This window comes from Homo sapiens, chromosome 3 (assembly GCF_000001405.40).
Source record: "Homo sapiens chromosome 3, GRCh38.p14 Primary Assembly".
Classification (NCBI taxonomy): Eukaryota; Metazoa; Chordata; class Mammalia; order Primates; family Hominidae; genus Homo; species Homo sapiens.
This window is the reverse complement of record NC_000003.12, coordinates 180479881-180501652: the sequence shown is the minus strand read 5'-3', so window position 1 is coordinate 180501652 and position 21772 is coordinate 180479881. Positions and strand designations below refer to the sequence as shown.

At 37.7% G+C, this 21772-nt stretch overlaps 1 long non-coding RNA gene across 1 annotated transcript in view; it reads left to right on the top strand.

Annotated features, from left to right (window-relative positions):
• Positions 1–20788, top strand: part of TTC14-DT (TTC14 divergent transcript) — a 121249-nt gene extending 100461 nt beyond the window's left edge. The window contains exon 3 of the long non-coding RNA NR_183700.1: positions 19794–20788. This is a non-coding gene — a long non-coding RNA (TTC14 divergent transcript). The remainder of the gene's footprint in view (positions 1–19793) is intronic.
• The last annotated feature ends 984 nt before the right edge of the window (positions 20789–21772 follow it).

Here is a 21772-nt window from a genome sequence, read left to right as displayed (position 1 = left end):
CTCACATGCATAGACACACATAGGCTCAAAATAAAGGGATGGAGGAAATTTACCAAGCAAATGGAAAAATAGAGAAAAGCAGGGGTTATACTGACAAAACAGACTTTAAATCAACAAAGATAAGAAAAAGAGGGGCATTACATAATGGCAAAGGGTTCAATTCAACAAGAAGAGCTATCTACACTAAATATATATGCACTCAATACAGGAACACCCTGATTTATAAAAGAAGTGCTTAGAGACATACAATGAGACTTAGACTCCCACACCATAATAGTGGGAGACTTTAACACTCCACTGACAATATTAGACAGATCATCAAGACATAAAATTAACAAGGATATTCAGGACTTGAACTCAGCTCTGGATCAAGTGGACCTGATAGACATCTACAGAACTCTCCACCCAAATTCAACAGAATATACATTCTTCTCATGGCCACATGGCACTTACTGTAAAATTGATCACATAATTAGGAGTAAAACACTCCTCAGCAAGTACAGAAGAACTAAAATGGTAACAAACAGTCTTTCAGACCTCAGCACAATCAAATTAAAACTCAAGACTAAGAACTTCTCTAAAAACCACACAACTACATGGAAATTGAATAACCTGCTCCCCAATGACTCTTGAAAAAACAATGAAATTAAGGAAGGTATCAAGAAATTCTTTGAAACTAATGAGAACAAAGGGATAATGTGCCAGAATCTCTTGGATGCATCTAAAGCAGTGTTAAGAGGGAAATTTATAGCACTAAATGCCCATATCAAAAAGCTAGAAAGATCTCAAGTTAACAATCTAACATCTCAACTAAAAGAATTAGAGAACCAAGAATAAACCCCAAAGCTAGCAGAAGACAAGAAATAACCAAGATTGGAGCTGAACTGAAGGAGATAGGGACATAAAAAATCCTTCTAAAAAAATCAACAAATCCAGGAGCTGGTTTTCTGGAAAAATAAATAAATAAATAAATAAAATAGGTAGACTGCTAGCTAGACTAATAGAGAAGAAAAGAGAGAATAATCAAATAAACACAATCAGAAATGATAAGAGGGATATCACCACTGACCCCAGAGAAATACAAACAACCATCAGAGAATACCATAAACACCTCTATGTACATAAACTAGAAAATTGAGAAGAAATGGATAAATACCTGGACACATACACCCTCCCAAGACTGAACCAGGAAGAAATGGAATCCCTGAATAGACCAATAATGAGTTCTAAAATTGAGGCAGTAATAAATAGCCTACCAACCAAAAAAAGCCCAGGACCAGATGGAGTCACAGCTGAATTCTATCAGAGGTACTAAGAAGAGCTGGTACCATTTCTACTGAAACTATTCCAAAAAATTAAAAAGGAGGGACTCCTCCCTAACTCATTCTGTGAGGCCGGCATCATTCTGATACCAAAACCTGGAAGAGATATAAGAAAGCAAGAAAACTTCATGCCAATATCCTTGATGAACACTGATGCAAAAATCCTCAGTAAAATACTGGCAAACCAAATTCAGCAGCACATCAAAAATGTGTATCCACCACAAACAAGTTCGCTTCATCCTGGGATGCAAGGTTGGCTTAACATATGCAAATAAGTATGATTCATCACATAAACAGAACCAAAGACAAAACCATGTGATTATCTCAATTCATGCAGAAAAGACCTTCAATAAAATTCAACATCCCTTCATGTGAAAAACTCTCAATAAACGAGGTTTTAAAGGAACATACCTCAAAATAACAAGAGCCATATATGACAAACCCACAGCCAATAACATACTGAATGGGTAATAGCTGGAAGCATTCCCCTTGAAAACGGGCACAGACAAGGATGCCCTCTCTCACCACTCCTATTTAACATACTGTTGGAAGTTCTGGTCAGGGAAATTGGGCAAGAGAAAGAAATAAATTGTATTCAAATAGGAAGAGAGGAAGTCAAATTATCTTTATTTGCAGATGACATGATCCTATATCTAGAAAACCCCTTAGTCTCAGCCAAAAGCTTCTTAAGCTGATAAGCAACTTCAGCAAAGTCTCAAGATATAAAATCCATGTGAAAAAATCACTAGCATTCCTCTATACACCAAGAGGCAAGCAGCAGAATCAAATAATAAATAAGCTCTCATTCACAATTGGTGTAAAAAGAATAAAATACCTAAGAATACAGCTAACAGGGAAGTGAAGGACCTCCTCAAGGAGAACAGCAAGACACTGTTCAAAGAAATCAGAGAAGATACAAATGGAAAAACACTCCGTGCTCATGGATAGGAAGAATCAATATCATGAAAATGGCCACACTGCTCAAAGTAATTTATAGATTCAATGCTATTCCCATTAAACTACCATTGGCATTCTTCACAGAATTAGAAAAAAACTATTTTAAAATTCAATGGAACCAAAAAAGAGCCCCAAATAGCCAAGACAATCCTAAGCAAAAAGGACAAATCTGGAGGCATCATGCTACCTGACTTCAAACTATAGTACAAGGCTATAGCAACCAAAACAGCATGGTACTGGTAGAAGAACAGACACACAGACCAATGGAACAGAATATAGAACTCAGAAATAAGACTTCACACCTATAACCTTCTGATCTTCAACAAACCTGACAAAAACGAGCAATGGGGAAAGGATTCCCTATTTAATAAATGGTGCTGGGACAACTGGCTAGCCATATGCACAAAATTGAGACTGGACATCTTCCTTACATCATATACAAAAATCAACTCAAGATGGATTAAAGACTTAATGTAAAAAATGCAAAACCAAAAACCATAAAAACTCTAGAAGAAAATCTGGGCAATACCATTCAGGACATAGGCATGGACAAAGATTTAATGACAAAGATACAAAAAGCAGCTGGAACAAAAGCAAAAATTGACAAGTGGGATCTAATTAAACTAAAGAGCTTCTGTAAAGCAAAAGAAACAATCATCAGAGTGAACAGACAACCTACAGAATTGGAGGAAAGTTTTGCAATCTATCTATCTGACAAAGGTCTAATATCCAACATCTACAAGGAACTTAAACAAGTTTGCAAGAAAAAAAAACCAACCCCATTAAAAAGTAGGCAAAGGACATGAACAGACATTTATCAAAAGAAGACATATATGTAGCCAAGAAACATATGAAAAAATGCTCAACATCACTGATCATTAGAGAAATGCAAATCAAAACCACAATGAGATACCATCTCACACCAGTCAGAATGGCTATTATTAAAAAGTCAACAAACAACAGATGCTGGCAATGTTGTGGAGAAAAAGGAATGCTTTTACACTGTTGGTGGGAGTGTAAATTAGTTCAACCCTTGTGGAAGACAGTGTGGTGATTCCTGAAAGGCCCAGAGGCAGAAATACCACTTGACCCAGCAATCCCATTATTGGGTATATACCCAAAAGAATATAAATTATTCCAGTATAAAGATATATGCACACATATGTTCATTCCAGCACTATTCACAATAACAAAGACATGGAACTGACTTAAATGTCCATCAATGATAGACTGGATAAAGAAAATATGATACATATACACTATGGAATACTATTCAGCCATAAAAAGGAGTGAGATCACGTCCTTTATAGGAACATAAATAGAGCTGGAAGCCGTTATCCTCAGCAAAATAATGCAGAAACTGAAAACCAAATACTGGATGTTCTCACTTAAGAGCTAAATGATGAGAACACATGGACCCTTGGGGGAAACAGCACACACTGGGGCCTGTAGGAGGGTGGGAGGGTGTGAGGAGGGAGAGCATCAGGAAGAATAGCTAATGGATGCTGGGCTTAATACCTAGGTGACGGGATACTCTGTGTAGCCAACAACCATGGGACACATTAACCTATGTAACAAACTTTCACATCCTGCACATTTAGCCTTGAACTTAACATAAAAGTTGGGGAAAAAGAGGAGTATAGATAACTGAAAATATCAAATAATTGGAAAATCAGCGTAAGTTTTTCTCTTCTTTTTCTGTTTCAGTGGAGATGAAGAGTCAGATCATCATGCTATTGTAGTGGGTACAAATTTCAAAGTTATAAAGTTGGCTGTGCAAATATGACAGTTTCTTTCTTTATAATTGCACTTAGGTCTTGTGACTCCATTTCTGCCATTGTTGGAGAATGTAATCTAGTTACTTAGAGGTCGATGTAGGTATTAGTGAATTTTGTCTCATCTTTTTTTAAAAGTAAATACTTTATCAATTAAGGTTCTTCTTTCCCCGCCTTTTTTTTCCTTGTCCCAGGAGGAAATAAAGTTCAGCCCCGGCAGAATGGGTGAGATAGGGGGTGCTCTCATATGTCATGCTGACATTGGTCTTTAGGTGCTTTGCAGTCACCTGCTCTTTTTCCTGCACAGATAGTTTTCTCCATCCCCCTACATCTGCTGTCCAGCGTCTGCCATAATCTCTAGTTTGTATGGCCTTCATCACATTCCCTGACAGTATCTCCTCATCAAAACCATGTGATTCAGTCAGGCTCACTGATTCTCCCCAGGCCTCTTGTGCCACCCATTTCTAGGTGTATGAATTACTCTCTCACACCAGATCTGGCCTGTGAGGTGTCCTCAGATCATTTGACCCTCTCGCTTGGTGTTCCACTCTATCCTAGGCTGCTTGTGTGACTTCTCTAAAAGTTTTGCAGTCTCCTCTGGCTATACTCTGGGAATTAAGATACTGGTTCTTTTGCTTTATAATTCCCCAAGCTTGTTAGAGGTTTCTATTTTCCTCTCACCCACATTCCTGGGGCTTCATATCCGAGTCCAGATTCTCTACTTCTCTCTCTCTTTGCAGATTCCTTTCTTTCTAGTTCAGTGTTGTTTAAAAAAAATCTTTTCGTGTGTTGGGGGAAAAACTGTTTCTATATCCGCATTCCTTATTTCACACTGTGTAGTTTATGGTGTGAACTTTATATGCTGAGACTGCCAGGCTATTAGTCTTTTGAAGCTCATAAACCACTCTTCTTTACTCTATGAGCCCACCTATTACAACTAAAAACCTTGCCTTTCAAGCCTATTTGATTTTTGGAGGTAAAAACCTGATTCCTGAAAGTTTTGAATCCTAAACCATTCTCATGGTAGTGTGTCTCTGAATTAATGCAGAAGGATTAAATACAGGGAAGTTGGAGGAAAGGGGAGGCATACAGTTGACACTTAAAACTTTGATACATTATGCAAAAAAAAATTCATAACACATTATGCATACGGATTCTTCATCTGTGTATGCACCTTAAACTGTTATTTTATTATCTTTGTTTTTCAGACAAAACAAGAATTCTAACCCTTAATTTGTGTGTTTTTTTCTTTTAGTTCTCATTTTTAAAGTCCTTAAATTTGCTGGCTCTGTATGATCCTCATATTTTGGGGTACCATAGTTATAAAGGCGAATAAACATCTATACTTGCGTAGCATTTTAAATTTTAATTAGAAAAGCTTCTCTTATAAATACCTCTAATTGTGTGGCTCCAGTGGCTCAATCGGTTAGCGTGCGGTACTTATAAATACCTCTAATTTTTCCCATGATTCTATTACGGAGACATTACTCACAAAGACAAGGAAACTGAGGCTCAGAGAAGTGTAACTATGAAGCAGTAAGATTAACTTTTTAAATGACTAATTTTGAAATAAAAATCATAACTATATAAAGTGTTTTTGTAGCATAAAATTACATATTTATATGTAGTATTAATATGCTTATGTAAATATATCTTAAAGTTTGGTAATGGAAATATATGCAGTATATGTATAGTCAAAAGTGTTATCTTAATAATATCAATTGCACAATACTTTGTTTTATTATTTTGAAATTACTTTTTCTTTATCCAAGTGATACATGCACATAGTTTAAAAATTAAGTTAAGCTAAAAGGGTATCTGACCCAGTCTAGTTCTCCACTTCAGAAGGAAGCATTTCAAGTCTTAGAGGGGTTTTATCTGACATTAACCTTCATATTTCTAAAAAGATACACTTACATTGTTATTTTTTGGTCTAGCAATTTTAGACATTATCTACTGACTTCCTCTTAAAATAGTTGAGGATTTATTGTCATTCCAACAGTGCTATATTAGAAAAATGTTGATATAACTAAACTTATAAATGAAGTCAGGCAAGCTTAGAATCACTTTTATCATGATTAGATATTAGCAAAATTATTCTTTTCTCTGCAGTTCCTATTTTATTTTAGCCATTTGAGTATTGTTGAGTTGTAGTGCCTCATTTGAATTTGTTCATTTTGTTCCTGAAATAATTTTTTATAACTTTTAATTTGAAGAGAAAACACTCTACCATATGTATGCTCATGTGCACGTGTGCACACACACACACAGTGACAGGAAATGTTAAAAAATAATGAAAAACATACTTCAGAAAAGCTTGCATTTATTTCTTAATATTTAAAAAATAAAGAGTTGCCTCAGATTTGCAGATAGTTTGAAATGTTTTTCAATTTTTTTCTGATAACTTTACTTACATTAGTAATTACGCTAGTAAAAATTCAATCCTAATAGGTTTGTTGAAAATTTCCTTTGAACTTTCTGCATATTTTCACTATGACATTTTCATTTGAAATAATTGGGTCGGATTAAAAATGTCAATAAATTCTTTTCAGTTCATGAAATCTCGCATCTAGCTGGAGAGTTATATAAAATTAATTACCCGATGAAAATAGTAAATTATAATCTAGTCACATAAAAACTGCTGAAGAGCAAGAGCTATTTTATTGATGCTTAGAATATTGACTGGCTTAAACAGAAATAAAAATATTTGAAATATTATTATATCTTGGTGAAATTTTTGGTCAGCAGTATTTTTGATGCAGAAAACATTTAAAAATCAATTTTCACGTGATTGTAGAGACAATAACATTGTCCATTATATATCAAATCATGATTCCAATGAAGATTAGTGTTCTTTTGTTTAAAAGGCTGTCAAATGTCAAGTAACTTTTAATTGCTGAAGCAATTGTCTTTGACCCTGCTAACAAAGGATTCTGAATTCTTTTGTCTAAAAATAGCCAGAAGTTTTCGTCATTGGGGTTTAAGTATGCTTGTCATACTGGCAAAATCCGTATACAGTACTCTTCTTGCACCTTAAAATAATCAAGGTATGCTAAACCCTATTCCAATTGCATGGAGGAATATGTTCGCAGAATACATTTAACAAGTACAGTCATCTACTGCGATATTGTTTTCATGGTCATGTTTATATTTCCTTTGTTATAATATAACTTGGGCATACCCGCCATCAGGAGTTATGAGAGCTGTAGCATAACTGTTAGAATAATTTGATTATGCACAGGTAATAGAATATTGATACACTTAAGTCTGTGAGATTTCACCTTATGGAGACTCGGTACTAAAGTAAATCATATGTGCTATAGATTGTAATAGCAAAAACAAAAAACAAAAAAAAGGCTAAATTTTCATTCACAAAATGCTGTTAAAGTAAATTATGGGGTGCCCATTTGGAAAAAAATTTCTCAAAACACAGTGATAAATGATAAAGAACAAATTTTAGGGCTCATATATATAAATTTGTTTAAAATTTATTATGCACATGTCTAAGCTTGTATCTGCATGGGAAATTTCTGGAAAGAGATCTCCAAAGTGGAGAAGTGGTTAGGGGAAGGAAAGGAGACTTTATTTTTTATTACTTTCTGTATGGCTTGAATTTTTTTTTTCTAAAGCCATGAGCAGCATTTCTATTACAGCTCTAAAATTAATTGATTAAAAACAGGCTCTTGCAAATATATGAATAGACATTTTAAAAATATATATAAATTACCAATAAACCTACAGAAAAATGTATGCCAGTAGTATCCTAATACTGTAGCCAGATTTTCTTAAAGTCTTGCCAAAGATGCACTTTATTTCAAGAACAATTTTTTTATTGATAAAGATGTCATACTGATTTTGAATAATAGCCTAGTGATAGTCATAGCCAAAGGCAATATTATTAAACTTTTAACTCTCATGAGCTCCAGTACACAATAAATTAGCTAGGTACCTAAATTTCACTACTGATTCTGGGACTAAAAACTATAGGGTAAATATCTTAGGGTTATAAAACCAAGGGACACCATATTATTACCTGTGGAAACATATCTTACCTCTACTTTGTTCAAAGGCCTGCAGTACTGGATCTAATTTACATTTATTGTGCAGGGCCTCCTACCAAAACCTGTAGTAGTCCACATTTTTACAGAAATAAATTTTTTATGATTGGACTGAAACATGAAGCATTTATGTGTAGCTTGCTCCAAGTACTGAATATAATTACTCTTGGCTTCCCAGCAGTCCTTGTTAAATCCAGCCACCATGTTCAAGACCTGTGGTTTTATGGGACAGTCAGAGTACATTTTAGTCTGTACAGTTTACAGATAATTTCTCCAGAAGGCAGTGAGGGAATGAGGTTCTACCCTTTCTTTCAGCATCTCCACTGCTTGATCCAACTGTTTGAACAATTATATGCAGGGTTACACAACACAAGGAAGGGGAAATGATAATTTCCAACTATAAGATCTATATCTAAACTGTTAACTGATAATGAAGAAAATTTAAATTAATAAATGATTAACAGAGCTGGATTCTTTTTTTTTCTTTTTTTCTTTGATGGAATCTTGCTCTGTCACCCAGGCTGGAGTGCAGTGGTGCAATCTCAGCTCACTGCAACCTCTGTCTTCCAGGTTCAAGCAATTCTTGTCCCTCAGCCTCCTGAATAGCTGGGACTACAGGCGTGTGCCACTACGCCCAGCTGATTTTTGTAGTTTTAGTAGAGATGGGGTTTCACCATGTTGGCCAGGCTGGTGTCGAACTCCTGACCTCAAGTGACCCACCTGCCTCGGCCTCCCAAAGTGCTGTGATTACAGGTGTGAGCCACCATGCCTGGCCAAGAGTTAGATTCTAGAAATATGATCAGCTATTACAAACTAGTGGTCTTGTATGTATTTGGCTGGCACAGCTTTTCTAAAACTTTAAACTTGAATGGCTTTTTAGGCCAATAATGTACTCTCTAGCTCACCACAAGCAGCACTACTTCCTAAATTTTTATTCCTACCTTTTCCCACATTTACATCCATACACTTGTCTTCTGAAGGGATTTGAGAATCTATTTGCTTTGACATTCCCTAACTTCTTGCCATTTAAGAGTATTAAGTTATAATTTTAAAGTAATAGGGTGAGAGGTGTAGAGATCATAGGGAAGTAATCTTCCTAGTTCTAATAGGGTAGGAATGGTGATTCTGTGGAATCTTTCTATTTCCGGCCTTACCTACTGTGATTTCTGAGCTTCCAAAGGGTTCATTAATCATGTAGGTATCAAGCAACTATGGACTTAAAACCTTGGAGAATGCACATGATAAGAAATTCTAGGTATGTCTTACCACAAAGCTGGATCAAGATCAGAAATAATGAATTCTTGTTTTAGATACCAGGATATTCAGAATTCTGGCATTAGCCAACATGCCTGTGCCTGCCCACCTGTACTTCCACCAAAGTTAAATTGTCAAGATTTCTGACAAAAGAGGCTTTTAGGCTTTGAGAGTGAGGTAACTTATCCTCTAAAATCCATGCTGTTACAAGCAATCTTGATAAATCTGGAGGGAGGGTTATCAAATCAGAGGCTCTGCATTTCATTTTCCTACTTGCTACATTTCAATTGAGAATTTTCAGCAATTGTGCTGTATAGTCTACAATTTTTTGAGGATAAAAGAAAATTCAGACATTTGTCTGTTTAAGCTTCGATAGCTATTGACTTACTAATGTTGACAGGGATCCACTGATCTAATTCTTCCAGGATGAAGTACAGCTTGGCTGACCCAGTTCTTGGGATGGGAGGATTAATGAACTCTCTAAACCAAACTTTTGGAGGAAAAGAACTTCAGAGGAGTTGGTAAGCATCCTACTTATGCGATTACTATTAATGACTGAATTCTTTGTTTCTGATTTTGTTAACAAAGTGAGAGAGCTGGTCACATTATTTTATTGACTGCTTAAACATTCAATTACTTGGAGACAAGATGCAAGAAGCTAGGATTGGTAGTGGCTAAGTAGGTGGGGGTTCTGGAGTTAGAGGGCCAGGGATTGAGGTCTGGCTCCTTCACATTTTGATTTGGGCATTGTCAAACTGTTTGATTTGGGCTTTCTCAGAGATTATCAGTTGCTTCTAGGGAGGGGATAAGTATGGGGGATAAGAGTTGGGGATAAGTATGTGGGATTTGTCATTAGCCTTCCTGTTTAAATCTTGCCCTGGTACTTCCAAATTGTGTGATCAGGAACATGATAAATGCTGAAAAATTTTTATCCTCTTCCCCCTTCTCTTCCTGCTCTTTTTTCCCTTCTACTTTTCTTCCACTTTAGTAGTAGTAGTGACAGTAGTAGTCGGCATAGTTGTAAAGGTTAATGGCATAATTTCTATGGTAACAGTAGAATTAGATGTTGGGGAAGATTACCATGGCAGACTCCTATATCACCAGAAACAAAATTTGTGTTCAGGGAACATACTCGAGGAGGGGAAGGGAGGGAAGCAAAGAAGATTGGGGCTAGTTAATGTTGGGAATATTATTTGGCAAGATCAACAGCATCTCTGGTGGTAGGCACTAATACAAAGTTTGAACATTAGCTGATGATAGTAGGAGAATTGGAAATCAGAGTCTCATTTTCTGGCTACTTTTCTCTGCAGTCTCTAGCCTGTTGAAAGTGGAATCTGAAAGTTTGTCAAAAAATGCTTTCTTGTTATAAAGAGTTCTTGTGTGAAAACCTGGAACTGAATACTAAGTATTCTTGGTCCATGCTCTTTACGTACCAACATAGAACAGCAAAGCATTTTTTTTTTTATACTTTAAGTTCTAGGGTACATGTGCACAACGTGCAGGTTTGTTACATATGTATACATGTGCCATGTTGGTGTGCTGCACCCATTACATTAGGTATATCTCCTAATGCTATCCCTCCCCCACCCCCCACCCCATGACAGGCCCTGGTGTGTGATGTTCCCCATCTTGTGTCCAAGTGTTCTCATTGTTCAGTTCCCTCCTGTGAGTGAGAACATGTGGTGTTTGGTTTTCTGTCCTTGTGATAGTTTGCTCAGAATGATGGTTTCCAGCTTCATCCATGTCCCTACAAAGGACATGAACTCATCCTTTTTTATAGCTGCATAGTATTCCACGGTGTATATGTGCCACATTTTCTTAATCCAGTCTATCATTGTTGGACATTTGGGTTGGTTCCAAGTCTTTGCTATTGTGAATAGTGCCGCAATAAACATACATTTGCATGTGTCTTTATAGCAGCATGGTTTACAATCCTTTGGGTATATACCCAGTAATGGGATGGCTGGGTCAAATGGTATTTCTAGTTCTAGATCCCTAAGGAATCGCCACACTGTCTTCCACAATGGTTGAACTAGCTTACAGTCCCACCAACAGTGTAAAAGTGTTCCTATTTCTCCACATCCTCTCCACCACCTTTGTTTCCTGATTTTATAATGACCACCATTCTAACTGGTGTGAGATGGTATCTCATTGTGGTTTTGATTTGCATTTCTCTGATGGCCAGTGATGATGAGCATTTTTTATGTGTCTGTTGGCTGCGTAAATGTCTTCTTTTGAGAAGTGTCTGTTCATATCCTTTGCCCACTTTTTGATGGGGTTGTTTGATTTTTTTTTGTAAATTTGTTTGAGTTCAGTGTAGATTCTGGATATTAGCCCTTTGTCAGATGGGTAGATTGTAAAAATTTTCTCCCATTCTGTAGGTTGCCTGTTCACTCTGATAGTAGTTTCTTTTGCTGTGCAGAAGCTCTTTAGTTTAATTAGATCCCATTTGTCAATTTTGGCCTTTGTTGCCATTGCTTTTGGTGTTTTAGACATGAAGTCCTTGCCCATGCCTATGTCCTGAATGGTATTGCCTAGGTTTTCTTCTAGGGTTTTTATGGTTTTAGGTCTAACATTTAAGTCTTTAATCCATCTTGAATTAATTTTTATATAAGGTGAATGGAATGGACCCAGTTTCAGCTTTCTACTTATGGCTAGCTGGTTTTCCCAGCACCGTTTATTAAATAGGGAATCGTTTCCCCATTTCTTGTTTTTGTGAGGTTTGTCAAAGATCAGATGGTTGTAGATGTGTGGTATTATTCCTGAGGGTTCTGTTCTGTTCCATTGATCTATATTTCTGTTTTGGTACCAGTACCATGCTGTTTTGGTTACTGTAGCCTTGTTGTATAGTTTGAAGTCAGGTAGCATGATGCCTCCAGCTTTGTTCTTTTTGCTTAGGATTGTCTTGGCAATGCAGGCTCTTTTTTGGTTCCATATGAACTTTAAAGTAGTTTTTTCCAATTCCGTGAAGAAAGTCATTGGTAGCTTGATGGGGATGGCATTGAATCTATAAGTTACCTTGGGCAGTATGGCCATTTTCACGATATTGATTCTTCCTATCTATGAGCATGGAATGTTCTTCCATTTGTTTGTGTCCTCTTTTATTTTGTTGAGCAGTGGTTTGTAGTTCTCCTTGAAGAGTTCCGTCACATCCCTTGTAAGTTGGATTCCGAGGTATTTTATTCTCTTTGAAGCAATTGTGAATGGTGGGAGTTCACTCATGATTTGGCTCTCTGTTTGTCTGTTATTGGTGTATAGGAATGCTTGTGGTTTTTGCACATTGATTTTGTATCCTGAGACTTTGCTGTATTTGCTTATTAGGTTAAGGAGATTTGGGGCTGAGACGATGGGGTTTTCTAAATATACAATCATGTCATCTGCAAACAGGGACAATTTGACTTCCTCTTTTCCTAATTGAATACCCTTTATTTCTTTCTCCTGCCTGATTGCCCTGGCCAGAACTTCCAACACTATGTTGAATAGGAGTGGTGAGAGAGGGCATCCCTGTCATGTGCCAGTTTTCAAAGGGAATGCTTCCAGCTTTTGCCCATTCAGTATCATATTGGCTGTGGATTTATCATAAATAGCTCTTATTATTTTGAGATACATCCCATCAATACCTAGTTTATTAGGAGTTTTTAGCATGAAGGGCTGCTGAATTTTGTCGAAGGCCTTTTCTACAGCTGTTGAGATAATCATGTGGTTTTTGTCTTTGGTTCTGTTTATATGATGGATTACAATTATTGATTTGCATGTGTTGAACCAGCCTTGCATCCCAGGGATGAAGCCTACTTGATCATGGTGGATTAGCTTTTTGATGCACTGCTGGATTCAGTTTGCCAGTATTTTGTGGAGGATTTTTGCATTGATGTTCATCAGGGATATTGGTCTAAAATTCTCTTTTTTTGTTGTGTCTCTGCCAGGCTTTGGTATCAGGATGAGGCTGTCCTCATAAAATGAGTTAGGGAGGATTCCCTCTTTTTCTATTGATTGGAATAGTTTCAGAAGGAGTGGTACCAGCTCCTTTTTGTACCTCTGGGAGAATTCGGCTGTGAATCCGTCTGGTCCTGGACTTTTTTTGGTTGGTAGGCTATTAAATATTGCCTCAATTTCAGAGCCTGTTATTGGTCTATTCAGGGATTCAACTTCTTCCTGGTTTAGTCTTGGGAGGGTGTATGTGTTGAGGAATTTATCCATTTATTCTAGATTTTCTAGTGTATTTGTGTAGAGGTGTTTATAGTATTCTCTGATGGTAGTTTATATTTCCATGGGATTGGTGGTGATATCCCCTTTATCATTTTTTTATTGTGTCTATTTGATTCTTATCTCTTTTCTTCTTTATTAGTCTTGTTAGTGGTCTATCAATTTTGTTGATCTTATCAAAAAGCCAGCTCCTGGATTCACTGATTTTTTTGAAGGGTTTTTTGTGTCTCTGTCTCCTTCAGTTCTGCTCTGATCTTAGTTATTTCTTGCCTTCTGCTAACTTTTGAATGTGTTTGCTCTTGCTCCTTTAGTTCTTTTACTTGTGATGTTAGGTTGTTGATTTTAGGTCTTTCCTGCTTTCTCTTGTGGGCATTGAGTGCTGTAAATTTCCCTCTACACAGTGCTTTAAATGTGTCCCAGAGATTCTGGTATGTTGTGTCTTTGTTCTCTTTGGTTTCAAAGAACATCTTTATTTCTGCCTTAATTTCGTTATGTACCCAGTAGTCATTCAGGAGCAGGTTGTTCAGTTTCCATGTAGTTGTGCCATTTTGAGTGAGTTTCTTAATCCTGAGTTCTAATTTGATTGCACTGTGGTCTGAGGACAGTTTGTTATAATTTCCGTTCTTTTACATTTGCTGAGGTGTGCTTTACTTCCAACTATGTGGTCAATTTTGGAATAAGTGTGATGTGGTGCTGAGAAGAATGTATATTCTGTTGATTTGGGGTGGAGAGTTCTGTAGATGTCTATTAGGTCTGCTTGGTGGAGAGCTGAGTTCAAGTCCTGGATATCCTTGTTAACTTTCTGTCTCGTTGATCTGTCTAATGTTGACAGTGGGGTGTTAAAATCTCCCATTATTATTATATGGGAGTCTAAGTCTCTTTGTAGGTCTCTAAGGACTTGCTTTATGAATCTGGGTGTTCCTGTATTGGTTGCATATATATTAAGGATAGTTAGCTCGTCTTGTTGTGTTGATCCCTTTACCATAATGTAATGCCCTTCTTTGTCTCTTTGGTCTTTGTTGGTTTAAGGTCAGTTTTTTTTTTTTTTTCTGGAGACGGAATCTCGCTCTGTCGCCCAGGCTAGAGTGCAGTGGCATGATCTCGGCTCACTGCAAACTCCATCTCCCGGGTTCATGCCATTCTCCTGCCTCAGCCTCCTGAGTAGCTGGGACTACAGGCACCTGCCACCATGCCTGGCTAATTTTTTGTATTTTTAGTAGAGACAGGGTTTCACTGTGTTAGCCAGGATGGTCTTGATCACCTGACCTCGTGATCCGCCTGCCTCAGCCTCCCAAAGTGCTGGGATTACAGGTTTAAGCCACTGCGCCCAGCCTAAAGTCTGTTTTATCAGAGACTAGCATTGCAACCCCTGCTTTTGTTTGTTTTCCACTTGCTTGGTAGATCTTCCTCCATCCCTTTATTTTGAGCCTATGTGTATCTCTGCATGTGAGATGGGTCTCCTGAATACAGCACACTGATGGGTCTTGACTCTTTATCCAATTTGCCAGTCTGTGTCTTTTAGTTGGGGCATTTAGCCCATTTACATTTAAGGTTAATATTATGTGTGAATTTGATTCTGTCATTATTATGTTAGCTGGTTATTTTGCTTGTTAGTTGATGCAGTTTCTTCCTAGCATCGATGGTCTTTACAATTTGGCATGTTTTTGCAGTGGCTGGTACTGGTTATTCCTTACCATGTTTAGTGCTTCCTTCAGGAGCTCTTGTAAGGCAGGCCTGGTGGTGACAAAATCTCTCAGCATTTGCTTGTCTGTAAAGGATTTTATTTCTCCTTCACTTATGAAGCTTAGTTTGGCTGGATATGAAATTCTGGGTTGAAAATTCTTTTCTTTAAGAATGTTGAATATGGGTTTCCACTCTCTACTAGCTTGTAGAGTTTCTGCTGAGCGATCTGCTATTAGTCTGATGGGCTTCCCTTTGTGGGTAACCCAGCCTTTCTCTCTGGCTGCCCTTAACATTTTTTCCTTCATTTCAACCTTGGTGAATCTGACAATTATGTGTCTTGGGGATCCTCTTCTCGAGGAGTATCTTTGTGGCGTTCTCTGTATTTCCTGAATTTGAATGTTGGCCTGCCTTGCTAGGTTGGGGAGGTTCTCCTGTATAATATCCTGAAGAGTGTTTTCCAACTTGGTTCCATTCTCCTTGTCACTTTCAGGTACACCAATCAAACACAGATTTGGTCTTTTCACATAGTCCCATATTTCTTTTTTTTTTCTTTATTATTATTATACTTTACGTTTTAGGGTACATGTGCACAATGTGCAGGTTAGTTACATATGTATACATGTGCCATGCTGGTGCGCTGCACCCACTAACTCGTCATCTAGCATTAGGTATATCTCCCAATGCTATCCCTCCCCCCTCCCCCCACCCCACAACAGTCCCCAGAGTGTGATGTTCCCCTTCCTGTGTCCATGTGTTCTCATTGTTCAATTCCCACCTATGAGTGAGAATATGCGGTATTTGGTTTTTTGTTCTTGCGACAGTTTACTGAGAATGATGATTTCCAATTTCATCCATGTCCCTACAAAGGACATGAACTCATCATTTTTTATGGCTGCATAGTATTCCATGGTGTATATGTGCCACATTTTCTTAATCCAGTCTGTCATTGTTGGACATTTGGGTTGGTTCCAAGTCTTTGCTATTGTGAATAATGCCGCAATAAACATACGTGTGCATGTGTCTTTATAGCAGCATGATTTATAGTCCTTTGGGTATATACCCAGTAATGGGATGGCTGGGTCAAATGGTATTTCTAGTTCTAGATCCCTGAGGAATCGCCACACTGACTTCCACAATGGTTGAACTAGTTTACAGTCCCACCAACAGTGTAAAAGTGCTCCTATTTCTCCACATCCTCTCCAGCACCTGTTGTTTCCTGACTTTTTAATGATTGCCATTTAACGCCACATATCTACAAGTATCTGATCTTTGACAAACCTGAGAAAAACAAGCAATGGGGAAAGGATTCCCTATTTAATAAATGGTGCTGGGAAAACTGGCTAGCCATATGTAGAAAGCTGAAACTGGATCCCTTCCTTACACCTTATACAAAAATCAATTCAAGATGGATTAAAGACTTAAACGTTAGAACTAAAACCATAAAAACCCTAGAAGAAAACCTAGGCATTACCATTCAGGACATAGGCATGGGCAAGTACTTCATGTCTAAAACACCAAAAGCAACGGCAACAAAAGCCAAAATTGACAAATGGGATCTAATTAAACTAAAGAGCTTCTGCACAGCAAAAGAAACTACCATCAGAGTGAACAGGCAACCTACAAAATGGGAGAAAATTTTCGCAACCTACTCATCTGACAAAGGGCTAATATCCAGAATCTACAATGAACTCCAACAAATTTACAAGAAAAAAACAAACAAACCCATCAAAAAGTGGGCGAAGGACATGAACAGACACTTCTCAAAAGAAGACATTTATGCAGCCAAAAAACACATGAAAAAAATGCTCACCATCACTGGCCATCAGAGAAATGCAAATCAAAACCACAATGAGATACCACATAGTCCCGTATTTCTTGGAGGTTTTGTTCATTTCTTTTTACTCTTTTTTCTCTCAACTTCTCTTCTTGCTTCATTTCATGCATTTGATCTTCAATCACTGATACCCTTTCTTCCACTTGATTGAATCAGCTACTGAAGCTTGTGCATGCGTCATGTAGTTCTCATGCCATGGTTTTCAGCTCCATCAGGTCATTTAAGGTCTTCTCTCTGCTGTTTATTCTAGTTAGCCATTCATCTAATCTTTTTGCAAGGTTTTTAGCTTCTTTGCACTGGGTTCGAACATCCTCCTTTAGCTTGGAGAGGTTTGTTATGACTGATCTTCTGAAGCCTCTTTCTGTCAGCTCGTCAAAGTCATTCTCTGTCCAGCTTTGTTCCATTGCTGGCGAGGAGCTGCGATCCTTGGAGGAGAAGAGGCGCTCTGATTTTTAGAATTTTCAGCTTTTCTGCTCTGGTTTCTCCCTATCTTTGTGATTTTATCTACCTTTGGTCTTTGATGATGGTGACCTGTAAATGGGGTTTTGGTGTGTATGTCCTTTTTATTGGTGTTGATGTTATTCCTTTCTGTTTGTTAGTTTTCCTTCTAACAGTCAGGACCCTCAGCTGCAGGTCTGTTTGAGTTTGCTGGAGGTCTACTCCAGACCCTGTTTGCTTGGGTGTCACCAGCGGAGACTTCAGAACAGCAAATACTGCAGAACAGCAAATGTTGCTGCCTGATCCTTCCTCTGGAAGCTTCGTCTCAGAGGTGTCAGTCGGCCCCTCCTGGGAGGTGTCTCTCAGTTAGGCTACTCAGAGGTCAGGGACCCACTTGAGGAGGCAGTCTGTCCGTTCTCAGGTCTCAAACTCCATGCTGGGAAAACCACTGCTCTTTTCAAAGCTCAGTTGGAAATGCAGAAATCATCTGTCTTCTGTGTTGCCCATGCTAGGAGCTGTAGACTGGAGTTTTTCCTATTTGGCCATCTTGAAATACCAATTACATTGTTTTTTTTTCATAAACTGATTCTCTACCATCCCAATCCTCCAGACTTCCCATTAGCATTCTCCAAGTTATTATGAGTTCATGAGGGACCTGGCCCTGGAAGATGTTCAGTAATATCTTTTGAACTGAATCCCTTCCAACATTGACATGCTTCTTCTTCTTTTCTGTTTTGCAAGAGCTTTACTTTCACTTTATTCTAAAGTTTCCAACTAGTCTAAAACAATGTCAGACACAAACATTTTTCTTGAATTCACACAATCACACAAGATATCAATCTCTCAATCTCTCTTTGGTTCTATTTTTTACTGTAAAACAATTTGGTGGTATGGTTTATCTAGCCCGTCAACAGAATTATGACCCATACTTGTCAACCTCTGGTAAATTCTACCATGATAATTTTCTTTTTTTGAGATGGAGTTTCGCTCTGTTGCCCAGGCTGGAGTGCAGTGGTGCAATCTCGGCTCACTGCAAGCTCTGCCTCCCAGGTTCACGCCATTCTCCTGCCTCAGCCTCCCAAGTAGCTGGGACTACAGGTGCCCGCCACCACGCTCGGCTAATTTTTTGTATTTTTTAGTAGAGACAGGGTTTCACCATGTTAGCCAGGATGGTCTTGATCTCCTGACCTCGTGATACGTCCACCTTGGCCTCCCAGAGTGCTGGGATTATAGGAATGAGCCACCGTGCCTGGCCCTACCATGATAAATTTTTTACCTTTGAGTGTAGTAACAAATGAAGATATATGTAAAATATATGTATTTAGTTGGTATTGTCTAAGAGTAATTTAATAAAGGAAACACAGAAAACCACTCACTGGAAGGGATAAGTATTTCCAAAAATAACTGGAAGTTTCTGAAATTGTCTATTTTTTCACTAAAGCCAATGCATTTTGACAAGAAATAAAAAATTTCCCTTAAACTGAGATTCTGGAATATTGGTTTCTTTGGTAATTTCTCTCCCTTTCAGCAAAATCATTGTCCTGTAAATGACATTTCTCATCTATATTTTAGATCACAAACTTGACAACTTATTTGTCTATTCCTTTAAATCTACCTCTCAGATGAACATATTTCCTCTGTATGAACTGCTGAAAGTAATCACTTTTTCCCGTAACACCTTTGTTTTAAGTAGAACAATAATTATTTGACATTTCATTAATTCATTAATTATTGACATGATCTAAAACTGTACCATAACGCCCTTCAATATTTTATGGTCTTCCACTGTATTCTTCTGCTCATCCTTAAAAGTTTTAACCATTTTAAATTTTGTAACTATGTACCTACCTGTTGTTTTGGTCTTTCTACTATGTGTTCATTCTTGGAGGCAAGAGGCAGTGGATGTGCAATGTAGAAGCACCAGAACATAGCACAATTTCAAAAAAGTCAGTGAGTTACAGCTTAAGTCGGGCAGCAGTGGAGAAAAAGAGTGCTCTCATGTTACAGGTTGTAGGAAATAATTCCACAACATATTGGGTATTTACTACGTGTTGTACACGATCCTAAGCACTTTACAATCATTCTCTCATGTAATCCTAACAAGACTTTGGGGAGTAATTATTTTTTCACGTTATAAATGAGAAAACAAATGCTCCACAGGTAAGTTGCCTAAGGATACACAGCTAACAAATACAGGAATTACAATTTCAATCCAGTTTAATGGCTATGACACTATGTTAATGGCTATGTTATATCATCTTTCTCCAAGGACATCAAAACTTCACGATTCCCACTCTTGCATCATTTACCACCTAACTGCTGGAAGTATCAGCCTACTCATCGTTATTGGCATCACCTGGAAGCTAGCTAGAACTGGAGACTCTTATGTCTTACCCCAGACCTACTCAATCAGAAATCTTCTTTTTAACAAGGTCTCCAGGTGCTTTGCACATTAAAGCTTGCACACCCAAGGCCATGTGCAACTTATATTCATCTTGCTGTTGCAGGCTTAGCTTCTGACAGGTAAAGCTGAACTGGTGTCACCCATTCCATGTTCCTGCCTCTGTGTCTTTGAGCCTTCCTGCCTCCCAGAATGTACTCTCCCTGATATAGTTTGCCTCTGTGTCTCCACCCAAGTCTCCACTCAAATTGTAGTCCTCATGAGTGGAGGGAGGGACCTAATGGGAGGTGATTGGATTATGAAGGCACTTTCCCCCATGCTGTTCTCGTGGTAGTGAGAGTTTTCACGAGATCTCATGGTTTTAAAAGTGGCTGTTTCCCCTGCATGCTCGCTCTCTCTCCTACCACCGGACAAAGTGCCTGCTTCCCATTTCACCTTCCACCATGATTCTAAGTCTCCTGAGGCCTCCCCAGCCATGCAGAACTGTGAGTCAATTGAATCTGTTTTGTTTATAAATTACCCAGTCTCGGGTAGTATCTTCGTAGCAGTGTGAAAATGGACTAATACACTCTCCTCAATTTCTCTCCCTAACCAAAGCCAGCACATTCCCAAATAACTTATTTACTCAATTGCCACTTTATTATTCTTTTGTATTCTGATCAATTGGAATTAATAATTTTTTTCTTTTGGACTCCCACAGTCCTTAGCATATATTTCTATGAAGCCTCTGATTGCTTCACGTTGGGAGAAGGATCCTGTCCTTCTCATAGCTCTTGTTTTCACAGCCCAAGTTCTGGAAAAGTGCCTTCTTTGACATTGCAGATGTTCAGTAAATGTTCATTGTCTAAATAAATAAATGGTTTGAAGGGTTTGTTTTTTTCCATGCTTTCTAGAAACTTTGTCTTGATTTATTCTTTGTTCTGAAGGTTATTTAGAATCATGATTCTTAATTTCCAAGTAGTTAAAGTTTTATCCTGGTCAACTTTTAATTATGTATTTCCATTTTTGTTTGGTGATGAATATAGACTCTATTTTTAGAAACTTGTAGCTAAGCACATAATAGAGTTTTATAAATGAACATAAACAAAGAAAAAGTAGTTGAGAGGTGAAAAATTCTATATACAATTATAAAATTTAGTTTAATTTTATATTGAGTTCACCAGTGTTATTACAAAATCTAATTCTGAAAGAGGTATGATAATATTGTATATGTGCTATAATATATGAATAATCAAATATAAATTTCTCAGTCTTCAAATACATTCCTTAAATATGTTATACTTTAAAAAATGCTTTTTTAAAAAAAATTCTCACTCTAACCTAAAATTTAAAATTTTAGAATAACGTGCACTATGATATCTGTGTTTGGGTTGTATGATAGTTTTCCATACACTTTCCTTAGCAGCATTTACATAATTAAGGCATACTTCATTTGCACAGACAATCTGATTTCCCCTACCCTTCACTCACAACCCTTAAAACCCCCAATTTTCCTTAAGACAGATGTAATGTTATTGGCAGTGATATAATCTATCTTTGTTAGAAAATAGTAGCAATTCTGCATTTCCAGATGGTAGAGTGTGCAGGAAGCTGTATCCTAAGTTTATAAGCAGCAAAGGAATAACAACTCTGGCTATAGAATTAGCATTCAAAAATGCTTTTAAGTCTCTCCCTGTGTGCCCTTCTGTTCAGCTGCTACCTCCACTGTCCCTGAGCTCCGTGTTTTGAGTAGGTCTTGTGGCATAGCATCTGTTTGTGCATAATACAAGTAGGGCAGGAGAGTTTGGGCCATTCCAGAGCATGCAATGGTCTGGGGTCTCTCTGTTCTTGGGCTCTCTGGGAAGTGG